The sequence below is a fragment of the Homo sapiens genome, chromosome 17 (assembly GCF_000001405.40).
Source record: "Homo sapiens chromosome 17, GRCh38.p14 Primary Assembly".
Taxonomy (NCBI): Eukaryota; Metazoa; Chordata; class Mammalia; order Primates; family Hominidae; genus Homo; species Homo sapiens.
Window position 1 is genome coordinate 52,104,898 of NC_000017.11, and position 21,929 is coordinate 52,126,826.

A 21,929-nucleotide genomic window follows, 5' to 3' on the forward strand; every position below is an offset into this window, starting at 1 on the left:
CAGTAGAGCTTAGGCAACTTTTCTTGCTGGAGTACTTACAAAAAAATAAGGGGTTCCTGAGAGCCACCCAGACTGATGAAAGATCAGCCTAGCTGCACTTTAGACTCACCTGAAGTCTAGACGCTCAGCTTCCAGGGATTCTGGTTCCATTAGGCTGGGGTAGGGCAACATGGGTAATTTTAAAAAGCTTCTCAGGTGATTTGTAAGATGATTAGGGTCCAATCACTGGCCCGGGCTCAGGGAATCTGTATTCAAGCTCCCAGATGATTCCTACATGCATTAAAGCTTCAAAACCCACTGGCTTCCTATTAAACTCTCCAGCTCTGAAATCAGACCCAGGTTCAAATCCTCATGTTTTTTTGTTTTTTTTTTTTGAAATGGAGTCTTGGCTCTGTCGCCCAGGCTGGAGTGCAGTGGCACAATCTCGGCTCAGTGCAAGCTCCGCCTCCCGGGTTCACACAATTGTCCTGCCTCAGCTTCCCGAATAGCTGGGACTACAGGCGCCTGCCACCACACCCGGCTAATTTTTTGTATTTTTTAGTAGAGAGGGGGTTTCACCGTGTTAGCCAGGATGGTCTCAATCTCCTGACCTCGTGATCTGCCCGCCCTGGCCTCCCAAAGTGCGTGAGCCACCACACCTGGCCTCAAATCCTTATTCTTGCACTCACTACCATATTACTTTGAGCAAGGTTCTTACCCGCTTCTTCACCTACAAAATGACAATAATAACAGTACCTTCCACAGAAGTGTTCATGGGGATTAAGTAAGATGGAAATAAGTTAGCATACTGTATGACATACAGCAAGTCCCACTAAGTGATACCTTATTAACATGCTAAAGCATTTATTGAGCCCTTCCTTATTGTGGATTAGCATTTTATGTGTGTGTGTATATGAGACATAGTGACTCATCTCCAGGCCTGTGACTTTGGGCTACTTAACACCTTTGTGCATCAGGAGATTATAAACAGCATAAAAGAAGTAAGTCATGAGGATTCAATGAAATATTGCATGAAAAGTGTTTAGTAGAGCCCTAGTACATAGTAAATGCTCAGTAAATGCCAGCTGTTATAATTGCACATAATAGTCAATTTTCAATAAAAGTTGATAATTCTGGAGTATTCTTAATACATTTCCTGTCCAAGAAAATACCCAGCTTGGCTCCTAAGTAAAGCCAAAGATCTTTCTTGTGCTTATTTCTTAGATTTTGCTATAGGGGCTGGCCCGCATCACGGGTTTAAGGAAAGTTTTCTAAATGCACAAACGAATGGATTACTAGGGAATTTCCACTTGCCTTCACCCTCCACACTGATTTTGCCTGTGACTCAAGATCGTGAAAGTCTTCCTGACCACGGGGCCATTCATTCCGTTTCCAAATGCTGCAACCCGCCCATGGCTCTAATCAAGAGCAGAACTGATTTATGCTGGAAGTGGAGTGAGCCAGGGAGGTGGAATCCTCCACCGCTGATTTGTTTATTGCTGAGTCCTTGAAAATTGAATAGGGAGGAAAAGGGAGGTGTGAGAAATGAGTTAAGAGCTACTCCCCATCACATTTGATAAGAGGTTCTTTCACTCTGGAAGAGTATAGCTTTTCGTTGTTGTTAATATGAAAATGCTATAAGTGCTACAAAAACACATGTCAAGTTCCATGCCTGTCTTCCACCTGATGGCCACCAAGAGCCCTGACAATGATGGAATAGCAAGCTGCCTGGATTTCTAGGGCTTAATTAAGGAACTGTAACAGGCTATGCTACAACTCTGTAATACTCCTTGGTAAATGACTACAGTAGATAAAGAAAAATTGGTTTCCTCCATTTAGCAGATATTGATTACAGGGTTTGTTTTAAAACATTTAGACTAACTTGGTTCTTTGTTTTATTTATTCACTTCCATGCATTAATTGAAAGCCCACGGCTCAGATTGTATTAACTTGATCGCCCTCTACTGGCCACATGCTGGAGTACATGCCTGTTTTTGACCTATCCTACAAAAACTACAGCTATTTTTAGAAAGTATTGGCCTTTTCAAGTCAAACATACTTTTTCAAGGTCAATTATGAGTACGGTGGGGAGACTCCTGTATATAAAACCCCAAATTGTCTACTCTGTTTTTGAATATTCTGCTTCCTGAAAGATCTTTCGATTCCATATATTTGATAATTTAAGAAGAACCATGACCAGGAGCCAGAAGATCTGAGTTCACATGGGCCTACCCTCTCATCTATGAAAGGAGAAGGTTGAGGTAGGACAGGCACAAGGCCCCTTTTTAATCTCTCAAGCTGGGGCGGTAGGGACTGCACCCCATGTTAGAAGCCAGGTGCCCTGCGATCGAGTCCTAATTTGAGATTTAGTTCTGATTCCCTTTTACTCTTGCTATAAAGTGAATAAGGAGGGTATGAAATCTCCAGGGTTCCTTTGAATTCCAATATGTTAGGACTCAATTCATACTAACCTCGAGCACATATAAGTGACAGGGAGGAATTTTCGGAAAGATAATTCCTCTTAAAACCCCTTTAAAAGGTTATTTTTTCTTTTTTCCTATGACAATTTTCTAGAAAACATAGGATTTATTCCTCACAAAGCTCCCCATACTTGTAGCTGAAACTATTGTCTCCACATGAACAGTTTGAATAAACTGTAACATTTTTATTATCTAGAACATAGGAGAGAAAAAAATCCAACACCAGATTCTAGATGGAGATTTATTGCAGATTCTTATAATTTGGGGGGGAAAATAAAATGATGAGGCCCTTCAAGTCCAAGGGAGAAAAGCTGGCTCTGAGTCCCTAAGCAGAAACATTTTTTAAAAGCTGCTCTACTTCCCTCCACAAAGCAGATCTGCAATGTGATCGGCAACCTTTTGCTTCCATCATTTTGGTGGATTACCCAGTCCCTAGACACAGTTCAAAGAAGACATTTGCTCAGGTAGGGTGAGCACAGTGTAATCCTCCATCCTTGCAACAAACATTAAGAGCATTTAAGAAAGTCAGAGCAAGGCAATGCTGGAAGAACTTCTTTTCTACTATGAGAAAAAGCAGAAAATGCCACATACAACAATGTAAAATTGATTGACTTAGCAATAATCTGGCCTAGGGAAAATTTACCAAGTTTCAAGAAAGGAATTTGTTTTTAAAAATAAAACGTCCTTGCATTTAATTAGCCACGCACTTATTCTATTATAAGAATAAGCCAGGCACTATTCTATCAGGCACTTTGAAATGAATAATTGTATTTGCTTTTTAAAAATCAATATTAGGTGTATATATATATTTTTAATATATTTTTATATATATATTTTTTATATATATATATATATATATATATATATATAATATGTATATGATGGAATACTACCCAGCCATAAAAGGAATGAATTAACAGCACTTGCAATAACCTGGATGAGACTGGAGACTATTACTCTAAGTGAAGTAACTCAGGAATCAAAAACCAAACATTGTATGTCCTCACTGATATGTGGGAAATAAGCTGTGAGGATGCAAAGACATAAGAATGATGCCATGGGCCAGGCGCAGTGGCTCACGCCTGTAATCCCAGCACTTCGGAAGGCCAAGGCAGGCGAATCACGAGGTCAGGAGTTCGAGACCAGCCTGACCAACATGCTGAAACCCCGTCTCTACTAAAAATACAAAAAAAATTAGCTGGGCGTGGTGGTGTGTGCCTGTAATCCCAGTTACTTAGGATGCTGAGGCAGGAGAATCGCTTGAACCTGGGAGGTGGAGGTTGCAGTGAGCAAAGATTGAGCCATTGCACTCCAGCCTGGGTGACAGGGGGAGACTCCGTCTCAAAAAAAAAAAAAAAAAAAAAAAAAAAAAGAATGATGCAATGAGATTTGAGGACTTCGGGGGAAGAGTGGGAGGGCGCAAGGGATAAAAGATAACAAATATGGTGCAGTGTATACTGCTCAGTGATGGGTTCACCAAAATCTCACAAATCACCACTAAAGAACTTACCCATGTAATCAAACACCAACTGTACCCCAACAAGTTATGGAGAAATAAAATAAAATACTGAAGTACAAACTTTTTTTAAAAAAAAGTGAAAAACACAGGATCTGTATATTAAATTACAAATTGCTGATGAAAGAAATCAAAGAGACCTCAATAAATGGAGACATCCCTACTAGGTTCATGGATTGGAGGACTCAACATAATAAAGCCATCAATTCTCCCCAAATTAATCTGTAAGTTTATTACAACAGCAACAAAACCAATACTAGGAAGGGAGTCATAGGGGCATTACACTCATGTTGTAGATGATAATTAAGAAGATTATGTATCTTCCCTACAAAGACCAAATCCCACAGATAATAGTACTATTTTCTGATATTTAAAATTTTGCTCTAAGAGATTTTCGGAGAAAACATTCAAGTCCTTCTAAGGATGCTAGGGCTGTATGGATGCATACATGTGTATCTTCTTTTCCGAAGGGACAAAAAACAAAATAAACCACATATTTCCAGGGGAAAACCAAAGCAATAGAGTAGAGAGAAGAAATGTTTGAGTTTGATTCTGCACTAACTTTTCCAAAGCAAGAGTTCTATTCAGTGTGAGTACCTTCCAGAACAAGGCACTGTGTGGGAAACATCGTAGAAGGCTGTAATCTTTCCCCAGATCATTTCCTGGTTGGGGAATAAACTATTGCAGATTAATGCAGATTACATTGTGTTCTCTCTGAGGACTGTAGACAAAATAGTGGCTATTAGTTTCTAGGGACTGGAAATTAATAGAGAGGGAGTTTAATGCAAGTCACATTCAATCCCATGAGCAAGTCTTTAAAATCTATCAGGTCTAGTTCAAAAATAGGTCTCACATTCCATTATTCTCTCCATCTCCACTATTACTATCTTAGATCAGTGGTCCAAAAGATAGGAACAGGAGCATTGACAGTGTGTTTCATGACTTTCAGGCAGTCAATTTCAGAGAAGGCAATAGCAAAGAAGAATCATGTTCCTTTCTGACTTAAAGAATTTGAGACCCTGTTCCTATTATCTCTGGAATCTAGAGGCATCACATCCCATGCATCCTCTGGCATCATGATCACAGAAGTTTTATCTGCAACAGGTGTATGAGGAGCTTATATAACTGTGCATGCTCATACCCTCCTAATCTCATCCGCATGACTATTCTGCAAACACAAAGCATAAAATACCCCAGACTAGACACCGGCATGAGTCCAGCTGAAAAAATTGACAGATCAGCATGGTCTCTGTATAAGCATGTGATAAAATCTCTACAGTCATGTTTTCCAACTGAATGCTAGCTCTCCCTCCCCTGGATCCCCATAACCTTTCTTCCATTCTCTGATAATAGCTTTTCATTTGCTTTCTCTGCCTGTTAAACTGTAAGTTCCTGTGGGTAGGGAGCAGGTATGATCACGTGCCTTACTTAACTCAGACAGCAGGATAAAATGAGTCCTCTGGAGTCTCACAGACCTATCCTGGAAGGCCAACTTTACTAACTGTAGGGCTTTGGGCCCTTAACCTCTCTGAGCCTCAATTCCAATAGGAAAACAGTTATTGTAAGTATCCAATGACATTTATGCAAATGGCTTAGCCAATGCTTGCCCCTAGCAATTGATGTGATAAATAATACCACTGTATCCTAGGTTGGGCTCTCTAGAGTTAATATTTGAGATGGAGATTTGGGTGTCTGCGATTTACCTGAAGGAGAGGTCTCAGAAAGAAAGGAGTTAGGGAAGTAAGACAGAGTCGGGGGAGGAGCTAAGCTGAACTCTAGCTTCAGCCTGATCCCACAGGGAGGTCTGAAGCATAAATTGCACCAAAAGGTTGGTTCCCTCTTGGGATGGGTCCAGCCATTTCTATCCTCCCCCCATTCAAACCCTCCATATCCATTGGTTACTGGCTATAGGCTGCCTTCCTTTGTGGGCACAGAAGGACGTATCCTCCATGGCCAAGCAGCTCCCATGGCCAAGGACAGTTCCACGAAGAATAGGGCAGTTGTGAGCTGACAGTAACCTATACTCACAGCAACCATGTAAGGGAGATCTGGGAAAGGCACCAGAAACACCCACTACACTATTATTATATTTGTATCATTCTATGTCCAAATATGAGCTTTTGACATGACAGGGACTCAATAAATAGTTGAACTAAATTGAAGAATCTAAATTGCATAGACTGTGCAAAGCCAGCATGAATAGCTTTTGTCTCATCCGCATATTCAAAATCTTTGGAGACAGCTGTCACATTCCTCCCCTTCACTGGCCCTCAGAATTGCCAAGACTACACAAGGTTGTAGCACACCCCTAAATTCCCAGGCACACTGATTATGTATGACGCTCACTTAACTGTAAATTTTCTTGCTTCTCTTGTTTCAGAGATTTTCTGGTGCTAATTACACCTACGCTTACATCCAAATATTTCATTGTGATGCAGATTATACTTGTAAGTGCATGAATTATTCTTTGAAGGCAAAAGGAATTAATAATGTTTCACCATTCACTGTGACATGTTTCCAAGCATGTAAGTGACAGGTGCACTTTTAAATAATGTACTTTTTCTTCTCCTTGACAAGCAAGAACCCAGATTTAAAGAGATAGAAGATGTGAAGGATTGTCTTGTGGATCTACTGATGTCATGCTTGGGTTTCCATCTCCATCAGCAAATGAACGAATAAGTAATGTATACAGGTCCCAGTACCTGCTCAGATTAGATTGTATCAGCAGCCTTACACTCTGAAATACCATTAGGACAAATCCCCAGGCACTCAGGGATAGAAAGAGAGAGCTGGGTTGGTCATCAGTAGGAATGGAGGAAAGCTTTTTGTAAATCACAAGGTGATTTATAAAGGTCAATTATTAGTATTAATTATTCTACTATCAACTTTATGTTCAGTGCTCCTGGCTCTACCTACATCTCCTTCTGAATTAATCAGCCCCTTCCAGAGATTTCACATCTGTTCAGGTGACTAGGGACAAATAAAAAGGAGCCTAAACAGGTTGAGGAACCTGCTCTTTTCTTGTACTTTTATCTAATACTCTCTCTACTGGTAGAGACTAAATTGAATTCAGAAAACAAATCTAGCAGGTGGTTCTAGAGCCTTAATTGTGAGTGGCCAATAGATAACATATAAAAGGAAATGGGGATTTTATACATCATCATCACCCTCATGAAGTCAAGGAAATGAATGCCTAAAGACTAGTTGTTGAATTTCAGAAGATTCATGTGTGTAAAACAAGTGGACCTACTGCCCCAATTCACCAGATTTCATTTTAGTTCTATTAGGATCATGAGGTATTTGAGAAAAGAAGAAAAAGAAAAAAAAAAAACTCACAATTTGGTATGGGCAATACAAAAAGTTCTCTCTCACATGTATTAATACATCCACTTTAATGGCAAAAACAGACTTTAATTTTGGAAAGGAATATAGCTGAGCTCTAGATTAGAAGCCCATAAACTATGGACCAAATCTCTCTTCTGCCTGTCTCTGTTAGTAAAGTTTCATTACAACACAGCCATGCCCATTCATTTACATATTGCCTATGCTTCTTTTAGGATAACAACAGTGGAGCTGAATAGGTGGGAAAAAGACCACGCTGGCCACAATGCCAAAAAATAGTTATATTTGGCCCTTTATAGAAAATGTTTGCTGACTCTTGCTCTACAGCCAAACTCCTTGATATTAAATACTGGTTCTATCACTTATTAGCTGTGGTACTTTCAGAAAGTTTCTCAATGTAATCATCGTGAAGAAATGAACACTATCTACCACTTAGGGTTGATAGGAAGATTGAGTAAGTTTAAATATCCAAAGTGCCTAGACCAGCATCTAGCATATATTCAGGATTCAATAACTATTAGCCATTATTATTATAAACAGCAAGAACAAATATCCTTCTCCCCATACGCATTGTTGGCTCTCATGCCAAAAGAACCACCCAGAGGCCCTTCTGCCCTTTCTCATGGATAAGTTTGGAATGTCTCTCCAATGTTCTGAATGCACATAGATACTTTCTAGGTATTCTAGTTATTCTATAGCAGCTGCGCAGAAGGGAAGCCATTTCTTTTCTTTTCCTCTCTTTATTCTTGGAAGATGGCTTCAGTTAAAAAGCTCAAGCAGAGATTTCAAACCTCCTTCTTCTGTCTAAAATATTTAATGGCCAGCCTAACAACCCTGGCAAAACAACTGGTTTGTTTTCACAACTCACAGTGTTTTTTCATCTTTAGAATCAATTAGAGGTTCTAAAGATATTGTAGGATCAAAGATTGGCTTAGAATATAAACCTTGAATTCCTAAGAGAGCTTACAAGTTTGTCCAGATTAGATGCTCAAGATGAACAGAGGGCCCAGCCTCTGTAAGGTAGGAATGTAAAGTGGGGATAAAATTAGTAGAATTTTGAAAAACCCACCTTTTTGAGAAATACAGATGAATAAATAGATTACACTTCTTTCTCTCTCTCTTTCACTTCCTTTCCACCTTTTCCTTACGGCCAGGTTAATAATAAAAAGGTCAGTGTTCTGAGTTCTAAAAAAAAATGTATACTGATACCCATATGCATAAGGCATTGCCCTGGGCACCATGGAGAAATTCAATGTGGTAAAATTCCCATCCTAGGGAGTTAATAATCTGCTTGAGAAAGCAAGACAAGCCCATGAAAAGTTAAATAGCAATTAATGAGTTCAATGACAGTACAAGACAACAGTGGAAAAGATACTGCTATGCAATAAGTAATTAGTTGCTAAATTCAGATAGTTAATATTATAGAAATTTCAGGGGAAAATAAAATCCACATGATGTAAATTTGTTAACCAAAACACAAGAAAATGGCCATCCTACTTCCTCTTACTGAAGGAAGATAAAAACACTAAAGTTAAATATGTATTTACATTTCAAGTGAGTAATTTGAGGTGTTTTCATTTAAAATAAACATTAATTAACTAGCTTCCCAGGCTAACAATGTGTGTTAATCAGTCGCTGAACCTTGTTTTCTAACAACTTCAGCTGTAATGTGTAGGTTAGACCAAAAGATTCAGATGGAAATCAGAACACCAGGAATGGTGAAGTCTTAGAAGAAGGCATGCTCCTGTAGCAAAAACAGGAGGATGGGATGGGGTCCTGAACAGCATCAAAAGGCCCACAAGTTGACAGAACATAGCTGAATATCAGAGTAGCCTCCCCAGAGTCAGTACGAATGAACAGGCATGGCTGAATTCTAAAACATTCTAGAAAGATTAAGCTAAAACATCTACAAGTGAGTCTCCTGAATGAAGCTTCTTTATCATATTCACCAATTCACTGCATCCACCCTTATTTCCTAGATGTTTGGGGAAGAGGCTTATATCCAGATATGCCACCAAATTCAAATTTAACTACACCCTCAGATTTCTGCTCCTTTTGGACCACTAGAGTTCTTATTTTGGAGCTTGATGATCTGCTTGTATAAACTCCGTAAGCATAGCAGTAAAGAATGTGACTCCCAAACTAAACTACCTAGGTTCCAATCCCAATCCCACTGCTGTGATCTGGAGCAAATTGCTTATCCATCCACTGAGCCTCAGTTTGCCCAGTTGTAAATGGGAAGGATACTAGTATTAAACTCATACAGTTGTCATTAGGGCCAAATGTGCTAATACATGTGAAGCTTTTTGAACTATACATAGTAAATTCCTTATAAATATAAGCTGGCATACCCTGTCACTGCTAAGTAAGAGGGCAGAATTAGTAATTCTTTTAATTACTTAACATGCCAGCTATAGAGGCAACCTGCCTCCTTCTCTGGGACCAACACTGGTCCTACAAATGGAGCTATAACAAGTTGGAGTTTATCAATTTGGTAGTCTTCTTTCTGGCCTTGTGTGTATCTTACCCCACTCCTTCCACTAATACGACCTAATTATAATATTATAATTAATTCAAAAATTGTCCTTCTTCCTATCAGGTCCTGGCTCCAGACTACCTGTGTTTCTCTGGAAAGAGCTATTAGTGTTGACCAATGTCAGTGATTCTAAAAACTAAGTCATTGCATCCCAGCCATTCTCCATCCACTGGGGCCCCCTAATGCTATGCTCTGCCACTGATATATGCAGGAGGCAGATAAGGAAGGGTCCCCAGAGAATTTCTGACCTGCCCCACAAGTGTTTACACCAGATGTTTTTGTGCAGATAAGGGAACCTGCACAGGGTCTTTCCTGGGCATGCCCACATGCACTGAAGGAATGGAGTGGAGCCACCAGGAATTCACACCTTATGCAGGGGAGGAGCCTGGCCTCTTCAGCTCCTGTGTGGTGGCCTGGTATTCAATCTGCGAGGTGGGAGCCTATTGGCAGGGCCCCTTCTTTCTTTGCTGAGAGATTTATTTTCGCCTAATACAACCACTTTCCTCACCCTTCAATGTGTCTGTGTGCCTAATTTTTCCTGGTCTTGAGACAAGACCTAGATTTTAGCCAAGCTAAGGAGCAAAAAATCCTGCATCATTTTGGTGGCCCATATGGGGACCTGAGGAAGGGTGAGTAAAATACGGACCTGAATGTTTCTTTCCCTTTTGTTTTGGAGCCTTCTTGTTCTCAGATTTCTTCTAAAGGTAGAAAAAACTGAGACTTGCCTTGTCACTCTTGGGGGTCAGGAATGTTGGCCTCAGTCCAGCCCAGTTTTTTCTATGGCAATTTCCTTCTTTTTATTAGGACTGTAATGGCAGCTATCTTTTCTTTTACATATTGGGGGGTGTTCCACCCCCACCCCAATGGCCACAGGTGCATGCACAGGACAGATGGGTGAGCAGCAGCTCCCCGCCCCCCTCCCCTCTCGGTTGGGGCTGGGGCACATGGCCCAAGGGCCCTGCGTGGCTGGCTGGCCAGCATTCCCTGCCATGCACCGGGAGTCTTCCCCTCTCCTGGCCAAGGGGTCCACCTCAGTCCAACAGCAATTAAAAGTTTCTCTCAGCTGGGCACAGTGGCTCACGCCTGTAATTCCAGCACTTTGGGAGGCCGAGGCAGGCAGATCACAAGGTCAAGAGATCGAGACCATCCTGGCCAACATGATGAAACTCTGTCTCTACTAAAAATACAAAAATTATCTGGGTGTGGTGGTGCATGCCTGTAGTCTCAGCTGCTTGGGAGGCTGAGTCAGGAGAATCACTTGAACCTGGGAGGCGGAGATTGCAGTGAGCTGAGATTGGGCCACTGCACTCCAGCCTGGCAACTCAGCGAGACTCTGTCTCAAAAAAAAAAAAAAAGTTTCTCTCCCTGTTGGAGAAACCCATTTACATAAGAATAAGAGGTTATTCCCCCAGGCATCTTTCCAGTCCTGCACTTAAACTATTATTATTTTCTTCTTTTTTCACCCTATCAGGAGTTAACTTTTGTGTGAGAGATTTTTCCTTTTAGAAGGTGTTTTTACTAGGCCAGGACCCCAATTCACAAGATGCTCTTTTCTCTCCCTTGTTGGAGGGGAACTTGGTTCCACAGCTTTGCCTTAACATTCAGCTTATAAGGAGTCCATGAAACCCCATGAGACACATTTTTGCCCCAAACTCCATTCCAAGCTTTGGAACTTGAAGGCTACTGACAGCAGGCGGGACATGGAGTTCATGGGTAAGAGCAGATAATCCCTCCCTCAGGCCCCCCTATTAACATGGGTGAAAGCCACATTGACACTCATGGGCAGCACCCTGTCATGGCCACTGGGATTCGGGAATAAAAAGATGGAAGAAGGAAAAAGGATGCTTTTTCCTTCTCTCACTCATATAGCCTGGGTATTCACTAAAAAGAGAAAGGGACCAGGGGTGCCTGTTACCCCTTCTAGATGAGTAGCCATTCATCTTTAGTCTAGTTGGCTTGGAGTTGAGCTCAGGGGAAAGGAACCCAGAAGCCTGACATGCTGGCAAAAGGGTAAAAGTTTTTACCAGTTGGGCTTTTGGCTTCCCTCTCCCTGTGCACACCAGTAAGAGGAATGATAAGAATCACTGTTTATATTATCTGTGAAGTTCTGATTAATGAAAAAGGATATATGAGGTTGGTCTTAAGCTGTAGCCAATCTGGTATGCTTTGCGTGTCTTAATTGAGGTTTGTTGGTCCCACTGGTGAGGTTACTTTTGATAAAGTTCAAAAGCTAGATACATCAGCTGCTTGGCATGGCTAAAGTGAACTAATAAGGGATTTAAAAGGATTTTCTTAAAGAGAGCTCAGCTTAATTAGAAGTGTATATCCAAGTTATAGGTATATTTAAAAGGCCTTTATGTTTTTCTCTTCTTGAATCTTATTTTGCTGAAAAAAGGGTTTTCCTCAGTTGACTGAATTATTTTTCTCCATTTTGCCTTGCCACTCTTAATGCATGCATTAGAGCCCCTAAGATAATTTCTGATGGCCTGGGACTCCTTGGGAAAGACAGAAAAGACACCACGGATTCCATTTTGGGAGAAACCTCTGTTTTCCTCATGGAAGCCCAGGAATTAGAAGCGGATAAATCCCTCTCAAAATCTGTTTTTGTCTTCCAGCTATACCTGTTTATTGGGCCCTGGAAACAGCATGCTCTTAAAGGGCTCCATCCTGAGGCAAATAATCCAATTGGGATTGTTGAGATTGGGATTTTTTTTCTTTTTTCTCCACCCTGAGAATTGAGATTGACAAATGAAAAATTTTATAGCTACTGGATCTTCTTCTGTCTGTGTAGTTATATATGTGTTGTGTGTGATGTCTATAAAAAAGAGCTCTAATTAATTGGCTTAAAGAAAAATAAGCACTTAGATCAAACTTAGTCAAACTTTATTGATGCCTAGCACATAATTAAAACAACTTACCAGATTTTACATTACAGTTAAAAATTCCTAAGAGTTACCACTATAACATGTAATTGAGACCACTGAAAATGGATTTACATACAAGGTGTGTAAGAACAGTAAAATGTGTTTTTAGTAAAAGATTATAAGAGGGCATGGAAATGTAAATTTTTGCCTAGGGCTAAAGAATTTTTTAAAATTAGATAAGATAAAGCTAAAGGTTTAAACACATTGTGGAAGGTTTCTAAGAATTAATCTTGTAAAAGAAATTCTGTGTTTGCACATTGACAAAATTCAAAGGGGTATTATATGGTTTTAATTCAAAAGGGTATTATATGGTTTTTCTGCAAATGGAACATTGAAGTAAAAGCACAACAAGGTTTTCTTAAGGCACTAATCTGCTCTTTAGCAAAATTTGTAGAGGGTTATAAAAGGATTATAAGGATCTCACCTGGTGGTTAAACTGGTTAAGATAAGATAGAATTGTCTGTAAAGTTTCATTAGAAAATTGGGATAGACGTTAATAGTAAGGGTAAAATTACTATTAATGTAAGGGTAAAATTTGGCTTTCTCTCCCTTGTACAAGATTTTCACGTACTAGTAAAGGATAATGAGCGATTTTCATTTGCCTTGTGGATAGACTGCCAAGGAAAAGAAAGAGCAGACAAGAGAAAAATTTTTTGGAAAACAAAGTCTTCCCTGTTAATGAGTAAAGATTTTCTGCCTTGTTTTAAAATTCCTAAGTCATCGTTTTGGCAAAATAAATAACTTATGGTAATCTGAAATTCTATTTTATAGCATCAAGTGTTTTAAATTTTTAACATATTTAACAGGCTTCCCTGAATCAAATTTCAGCTTCAGGTTGTCTTTTCTGACCTCAGCTTTTGGATGCTACAGATGGCCCCTGGAGCACCCAAAAGAGAGGTAAACAGGATTATTTGACATGTTGAGGTACATGGGATTGCCAAAATGATGTTTAATCTTCTTCAGGTTATAATTTAGGGAATAATATTAATATATATTCCAAAATTGTATGGGATTTCTAAAATTCTAATGTTTGGGTATATGCTATCAATCATGATTAAGGTTGATATTATGTTAAGTTATTGTAAACCACAGAGATAACCAAATTTCTTTGTCAATCGTGTTTTTGACTGTAACTACCCTAGAATTTTTTTTATTCACAGGCAATTGTTGTCTTGTTTTGATCCTGTTCAAAAGATGGTTTATAATCAGCTATAGAACTTTGACAGGTACTCTCAAATGCAGATTTCTTGTAATTTTGGAGATTGTGACATTGGAATAATGAATTCATGAAGAGCTGAAATGTTCATGAATATCAAATAGAACAAGAGTTAATGGAATGGACTGAACTAATAGAAAACTGAAGTAGCCTTTTTAAATGTTTGCTTAGAACACTGCTGATCCTTGTTTTGTTTTTCAGAGTCAAGGAACCTTATGTTCAGCTATTTATGGCCTTTAATAATTGAATAAAGTACAATTCTGTGACAAAATTTGGAGCATATTTGTTTCTCTTTGCCTGGTTTCTCCAGAATTTGGAAACTAGTCATGAGTATTCATGACTTATGGCAGTATTCATGACTTATGGCAAAGTAGTTATTTGTGTCAGTGCAATAAGAATCCATTTTCTTTTGCAACAGAATGCAAGTGGAGAAACTGGTTGTTTTACCAAAGCTTTGACTGGAAGGGTATGCATCCCGTTAAGGAATCAAGCTTGACTTGCAGAGCTGATAAAAGTCCCTTGGGAAAACTGGCCTCACACCTTGTATTCACAGTCCCTGTACAGGGTTCCTGACCCATGGTAAGTAAAGAATGTTGCTTTCTAACAAGTCCAGGAATCACATGTTCTTGGACCTCAAGAAGAGAGGAGTTTATGCAACTCAGGTATTTGAGGGTACAAACTCATGGCTGGGCTCAGCTTTAAAAAAAAGAAGAAAAAGTCTTATCTCAGATTCCTTGTGGAACAGAGTTCCATCAAAGCCAATCTGAAAGGCCTATGTAAAAATAATTATTTGTGCTGTACTTTATGCAAATAATCAGGCCAAGTATAAGACTAAAGTCTATTTTTCAAACAACTCAGTCCCATCATGATTTCTTTTTGACAAGAATGAGGACTGGAGAGAGATAAATTATGTTCCAAAACTTAGACATTTGTCATTAAATTCTAGACTCATTAGCTGTTTTAATTTTTTTTCCCCCACATTATAAGTTAACTCTGATTATTCCTGTGAACCAACCAGTGATCTCCAACTGCAGCTCAGAAGAAACAAAAGAGATGAGTAATGTAAAAATCTGGATCAAATAGTCTAGTTCTGGGCAATTACCTTGCAAATCCTGGCAGGTGATAGGAGTAAATAGGGTGCCCATCACCCAGAGGTATCCTTTTTGAGAAAATAAGACCAAGGGAGCTAACCAAAGTCAAGCCCCATGCACCCAAATCTTAGCAAGCATAACTATAGCCACCAGTTATCTGTGTGTGCCAGCAGCCTTGGGATTTTTGAGCTGCCCTTACCCATCCCTTTTTGTTTCATTTTGATACATGTTTTCCAATAACCCAGTTTGTCTCTTCTGGCCTTCAGGCCATCAAACTCCAAATACTCCAAATAGTCCTGCCACCGGAGCCTTTGATGATCACCCCTTTTACCAGGGACCCTTATATAGGCCTATGAGGGAGATCTGATTGCTGATTCCCCAAAACAGCACCCCTGTCAGCAGGAAGCAGTTAATATTGGTCTTCATCCTTAACCTTATCCTTATCCTTATCCTTATCCTTATCCTTATCCTTATCCTTATCCTTATCCTTATCCTTATCTTTAACCTAAGGGCATTTAGATGTACTTCTAACCTAAGGGCATTTAGATGTACTTCTTTAGTAGGGGGAATGATAGATGCAGGAGGCAGATAAGGAAGTGTCCCTGGAGAATCTCTGACCTGCCCCACAAGTGTTTATGCCAGATGTCTTTGTGCAGCTGGGGGAACCTGCACAGGGTCTTGCCTGGGCATGCCCACAAGGGACTGGTGGCCCATGTGCACTGGGTCAATGGGGTGGAGCCACCAGGAATTCACGCCTCATGCAGGGGGAGAAGGCTAGCCTCTTCAGCTCATGTGTGGTAGCCTGGTATTCGATCTGTGAGGTGGGATCCTGTTGGCAGGACCCACTCTTTCTTTGCTGAGAGCATTCTTTTCACCTGATAAATCTACCTTTCTCACCCTTCAATGTGTCTGCATATCTAAGTTTTCCTTGTTGTGAGACAAGGACCTGGATTTTAGCTGAACTAAGGAGGAAAGAATCCTGTATCATTACCTTCTGAGAACTTGTTTATGGTAGGACTGCTCAAATGATGACTACATATTAACCTGGATACCTTCCACTGTTCTGTTGAAATCTTCACCCATCACTTCCCTGCCTCCAAGAATCTGACTGGTTTCCATGTCTTTGCCATATGTGGTTTGGTGTCTAATCTACTTAAATGCTGTCAGAGTTTTCCATATAGCAGATAGCCTCAAAAGGCTGAATCACCTCCTCTCTTGCAGACGTTATGGCAAATACGCTAAGAAATCCTTCCAAGCACTCTCAAAGGATTCACCTTCTCTGCCTCATCTCTGGTTAGTTGGTTTGACAAAATGAGAAGACGAGGGTGACATTCAGAACTCCTTGATTCTGCTATTATTGGCAAAACTGTCTCATTAGCATTAAAATAGGGAGAAGACCTAGGTTGGAAGGGATATTGCTTAAAAAAGAAAAAAAAAGACTTCTGCTTAGCATGCAAACTAAAGCCTAATACTTAGTATGTGCTGCAGAACAGAGTTGCTGAATAGTTCTGCCATAAATCATTCTACAATGCTTAGGTATGTGAAGCTGTAAACCCATTCCATAATTTTCATTAGAAAGAGACCTTCATTTCAAAAAAAAAGAATTGCAGCCCCTCAGTAGAGATCCTCTGGAAATCACATAAAATGGAAAAAAATGAGGGAATCTCTATCTATCTCTAAACACACACACACACAGATACACACACACACACACACACACACCAGGGCAAAATATTAACTTCCAATCACTGCTAGAAGGCACTAGGTCAATCACAGCTCAGAACACAGTGAAAATTGTGTTACAAAAGCAAGCCCGTCTCCCAGACAATCCTGCCCCTGCTGCACACCTGTGCTGCCTTCTCATCCAATGGCCTCCAGAAACCTGTAGGCAAGAAGCTGATCATTAGGAGCCTTGACCTACTCACTCGTCCCCAACCTCTGGTGCATCTCTCAGAATGTAGCAATTATTATCCTAGCACCAACAGCAGCAAACTAACATCTCACCCACAAATATACTTCTTACTGCCTTTCATCGTGTAGCAAATATCCTTTTATGCACACCTCAATCAGAATTACCCAAACAGCCATTAACACAGCTTGGAGAGGGAGAAGAGTAAGAAAAAGTTCTAAAACCAGACAAATCAACTGCAAAGTCAAATTTGTATTAAGAACCCACAGATGCTGGGGGCTAGTTGATGGAAGTTAGGCAGGTAAGGCAAAATTTAAGGTGCATTAAAAAGCTCAGTGACTGAGATAGATAAATTATATTCTAATGCAATACATTTTTTAAAATAGAAGTTAATACAGATAAATTCATTGTGAACCAAATATCAAAATTTTAAATAATAAAATTCAGCAGTACCATAATGAGCCATTTTAAAGCCTAAGACAAAAGAGAAAATCAGTGATGCTGATCGTGTTTTCATTAAATATTTGGATATTTCATTCATCATGGATTTTTTTTGCATGAAGTTTGATTTTTTAAAAATGTTTTATTAAAATATTACATATCTTGATTTAGGAGTTTCCTGGTGGCACCCTCTTAAATTTGCACCCAAGGCAAGCTCCTTGCTTATCCCATGCTTATCCCTGCCCTGCTCCAAATTACTGATAATTCTTGTATCACTAGAAAGAACAAGTATTGTCTTCTGATATAGCCTTCCATAATATTGCTACCCATCTTATCTTAAAAAATCAGAGGCCCCGGAATTAGTACAAGTGGAATGGAGGGCAGATCCTACTTAAGCATTCTTAAACAGCTTAAATACGCCTCTTGGGTTCAACTGCTATGGCTTTTATTCAAGAGAAACTGTAATTGGAAAGTCACAAATTTAACATTAACTTTTCCATTTCTGCTGTATGTTGGGTTTAGTTTCACAAACAAGGTCCTTTTAGATCAGTAATTCCCAGGCTTTATACCATCAAAGACTCTTTTTCTCCCCACCTGTAACCAGGGCTTGTGTTTTGAAATACTTTTTTTTTGCCAAACATTTATGAATGAATTTATGCATAAATTCTGTCCACCATTTAATAGGCCAAGATATCTGAATTTGCCAATCATATATTCTGATCAGTGGGAGATCACCTATGATTGCCAGAGGGAACCAGCACAATTGTGATCAAAGGCGGAGATACTTGACCTGCAACTCAGCCTGCCAAGCTTCATCAAGGATGCCACAATTTCATTAGATATTTTGAAATACTGAGTTCTCAAAAATAATTATAATGAAATATTAACTTAAAAGAGTGACATGAAAGAAATGGTAGGTATACCATGTTTTCACCTAGCTTTATAAAACTGTAATGTAAAAAAGTTTGGTATAGTAGTAACAGGATTACATATATATGTGTGTGTGTGTGTGTGTGTGTGTATGTGTGTATATATATGGGGTGTGTGTGTGTGTGTGTGTGTGTGACGTTTTCATTTAAAAGTTGAAAAATAATCCAGATCTCCATTACCAGCTTTCTAGTTCTTTGGGGACCTAAGGACCTCCTATGTAGGAACCATTGTTTTGTTGAAACAAATCAGCTATGGCAAACAACTGAAAGAGATCTGGTAGAGCAATGAGTTTCTGAGCAAGTATGAATGAATACAAGGCTTATAAATGTATGGAAGGAAAGCAGACCAAGGGACCCAAAGCCATTGATCGAAGCCTGACATAATTCATTAAGAAAATAACATTTCCAGAAGTTTTTCAAGATTATCTACTAGAATGTAAGCTCTCTGAGTTGCAGGAACCACCTGTGTGGCCTAATATCCTGCAGCGTTCTCCCTGGACAGACTCAATGCATATTTATTGAATAAATAAATGAATGAGGAGTTCCTTCTTTTATCACCATTGTTTTAACATCCGAATAAACTTTAAAAGGCATCAGGATTAGAAAACCATATTAAGATAGATATGGGCATCCAATAGGAGCAGACCCTTGGGACCCTGTTTAAAAAAAGCATCTTGTCAAGAACAATCATTAAGAGACATTATAAAGCACCTCATTCATTCACACCTGTTGGCTAACAAATCAATGACATGTTCCACAGATGCTTCCTCTTGGATTTGTCCCACTTGAACTCTCCAATATCTTGTTCAAGATAGTATACAACCTTAACCACACTCATTTATTCTTCATTTTCACTATGGTGCTCCATCCTGTATTTCCTGCCTCTCCAACACACTAGTTTACCCTCTCTAGTCCTGCATTTATCCTCTCTCCTTCATCCCATTTCCCACCTACAGAATTTGGTCCAGCATGGGTAATTTCTTGCACACTTTTTGAGTGATTCCTCATAACAATTCTATGAAGAAGGCAATGCAAAACTTATTATTGGTCCCATTCTATGGATGGAGAAATTGAAGGTTAGAGATTTAAGAGTGATGACCTCAGATTTCAGTAAGTGATAGATCTGGGATTCAGAACCAGGTCTCCTTTCCCCAGGATTCTGTTACATTACCAAGGACCTCAACATGGTATACAGCATGCAGTTGCTCAAAGCCTGACAAAATGAATGATATAAGTCATGTAAGAAGGTTCAGATGATACTAGAGAGCTCTATCTTCCTGTGCCTATGGAATAAAAATATAATTCTTTAGCATGATATATAAGATATTCATAATTTGGCTTGTCTGACTTTCCTGCTTTTTTCTCCATGACTGCTCATTATTCCCACAGTACCCAAACCATGCTAACCTGGCAGGATCCCTTGTCCTCCACCTTCATGCCTCTAAGCCTTTGCCTATGCTGTTTCATCCTCAATGCCTCTCCCACCTTGTTCACCTAGCAAGTTCCAACTCATCCTTCTAGAACCTGTTAAGTATGACTTAGGAATCTTTCTCACTGAATGAGGCTTGCTCTCCTCTGTGCCCACAACACTGTTACTTCAGCAGCTTCCACAGCTCTCAGGATAAGGTCCATATCTTTCTACATGGCAGTCAAGGCCCTTCATGATCTAGATCTTGCTTACATCTTCAGTGTTTTCTTCTCCTATACCTACCATGCCCTCTGATGCTATTATCTCTCCATAATGAAATACTTATGGTTTTCACATACACATCACTGTCTGTCTCTCCTCACAGCTTTTGCACACACAGCTCCCTCTGCCTCCCTCATCACTTTTGCTAGGAAAATTTCAACTTGGTGTTTGTGAGGTCTTAGCTGACGTGTCACATTCTTCTGGAAGCCCGCTGAGTCAGCGTTGGTGTCAGTCTTCCTTGCTGCCTGAGTGCTTCCGCCATCGTGGTACCTCCTTGCTAGTGTCTCATTGATAAGTACTTAGTGACTGACTTTTCCAGTGCTACTGTAGTGTGAAGGATCCCCCATCAGGTTACTTAAGGGTGTATATCCACTGCCTGCATCTTGACAGCCGGCTGGTTGGTGAGCTGAGGTCACGGTGACCAGCCAAAGAGCAGGTGTCCCTGAGAACCCAAACATCCCAGAGTATCTAAGAACCTATCAAGGAAAACAGTCCCATCATGCATGCACAGTAGGCCTAAGAGCCAGAGAATTAGCTTAAAAGCAGCTTAGAGGTGGGAAGTGGGGCGGATCTCTAGAGGTGCCTTCCTGCCTGCCATCCAGGAGTACCCTATATGTAAATCTTAACTCATCTGCTTGCCAAGCTGCACTTGTCCAAATCATTCTTCGGTCTCTTGATACCTTCCTAGTTTGGGGATGAAGGTGTTTTTCCCATAACAGTTATCCTTATAGTTTTTTTTCTTCTTTAATATATTTCCTGCCTTTCCCAGAAGAGTCTGTGATCAGTTTCTCCTTTATTTTCCTTATTGTAGATTCATTTCCATCTTTTCAGGTTCCATTCTTCACAGAGTGCTTCCATTGTTTGGGGGTGACTGATGTTTGGGGGTGACTGATTGAGGGTGACTGATGCTATTGTTTGAGGGTGACTGATGTGGTGGAAAGAATGCTGGATGGGGTGCTAGCTCAGGCTCAAGTCCTATCCATTCACTCATTCATTCATTCTTTCAACAGCTATTTACAGAATACTTTCTACCTAAGTGCTAGGTACTATTCTAGGTGATGAAGGGAATAAGCAAAGCCCCTGCCCTCAAAAGGTTTTCCAGTAAGGGAGTTAGACCAGATTAAAAAAAGATAATCACATATACAATGTAATATATACTAGTGGTAAGTGTTATGTGAAAAAACATTGCTATGATATTGCTCATCCTATCCTGGACAAACCTGTTAAAGCTCTCTGAAACTAAATGTTATAAAATAACATTCTAAAATGGTGCTAATAATATCTGCTCTAAATAACTAGCAAGGGTGGCTATGAGGCTCACATATGAAAGAATAGAAATGCATTTTTGAAAACAGATGAAGTATATGCCTTTATTGTTATTATTTTAATTTTGATGTAATGCAGTGTCTATTTGCCCTTTCCAAGAGCCAACACATGAATTTTAAAAAAATATCCATCAGTCATTTAGATGTTTGAAAATGAGCAAATGTCTGGCTGACAGCCTCGGTCTTCATCTGAATGTTTGGTTAACCTATCTGCATGGTTGGAAAAGTCATGCGTTTACTGCTGTGCCCTTGAAAGCATCAATCTCTAGGATTATTATTTTTTTCTTACACTATTGAGATAATGGTAATTTTCCTGTCTAAATATAAATTTTAAATGGGCATTTTCATGCCCACTTTGAAAAACAAGCTAAGCAGGACTGTCCATCTCACATAAATGTTATTTATATTTCTATGTAGCTCGTTTTTATTTGGGGCATATGTGAATTCCAACAATGTGTAGGAGAATATTAAATCATTACCCATGAAACTTAGGAATCAAATTTAATTTTGCAACTGTTTGCAAAATTTCAAAAAATTGCAGCATACTTTAT

At 39.6% G+C, this 21,929-nt stretch overlaps 1 protein-coding gene across 3 annotated transcripts in view, besides 1 other annotated feature; it reads right to left on the reverse strand.

Moving 5' to 3' along the window:
* The window catches only part of CA10 (carbonic anhydrase 10), a 529,711-nt gene that overhangs the window by 474,585 nt on the left and 33,197 nt on the right, over window positions 1–21,929 (reverse strand). The gene's annotated exons all lie outside the window — the stretch shown is intronic.
* Window positions 15,377–16,576: an enhancer, noted in NCBI's record as "MED14-independent group 3 enhancer chr17:50197634-50198833 (GRCh37/hg19 assembly coordinates)". NCBI's record gives its function as "activates an origin of replication core promoter dependent on BRD2, BRD4, P300/CBP and CDK7 cofactors, and independent of MED14, by STARR-seq in HCT116 cells {active_cell/tissue: HCT116}" and the evidence as "EXISTENCE:reporter gene assay evidence [ECO:0000049][PMID:35650434]".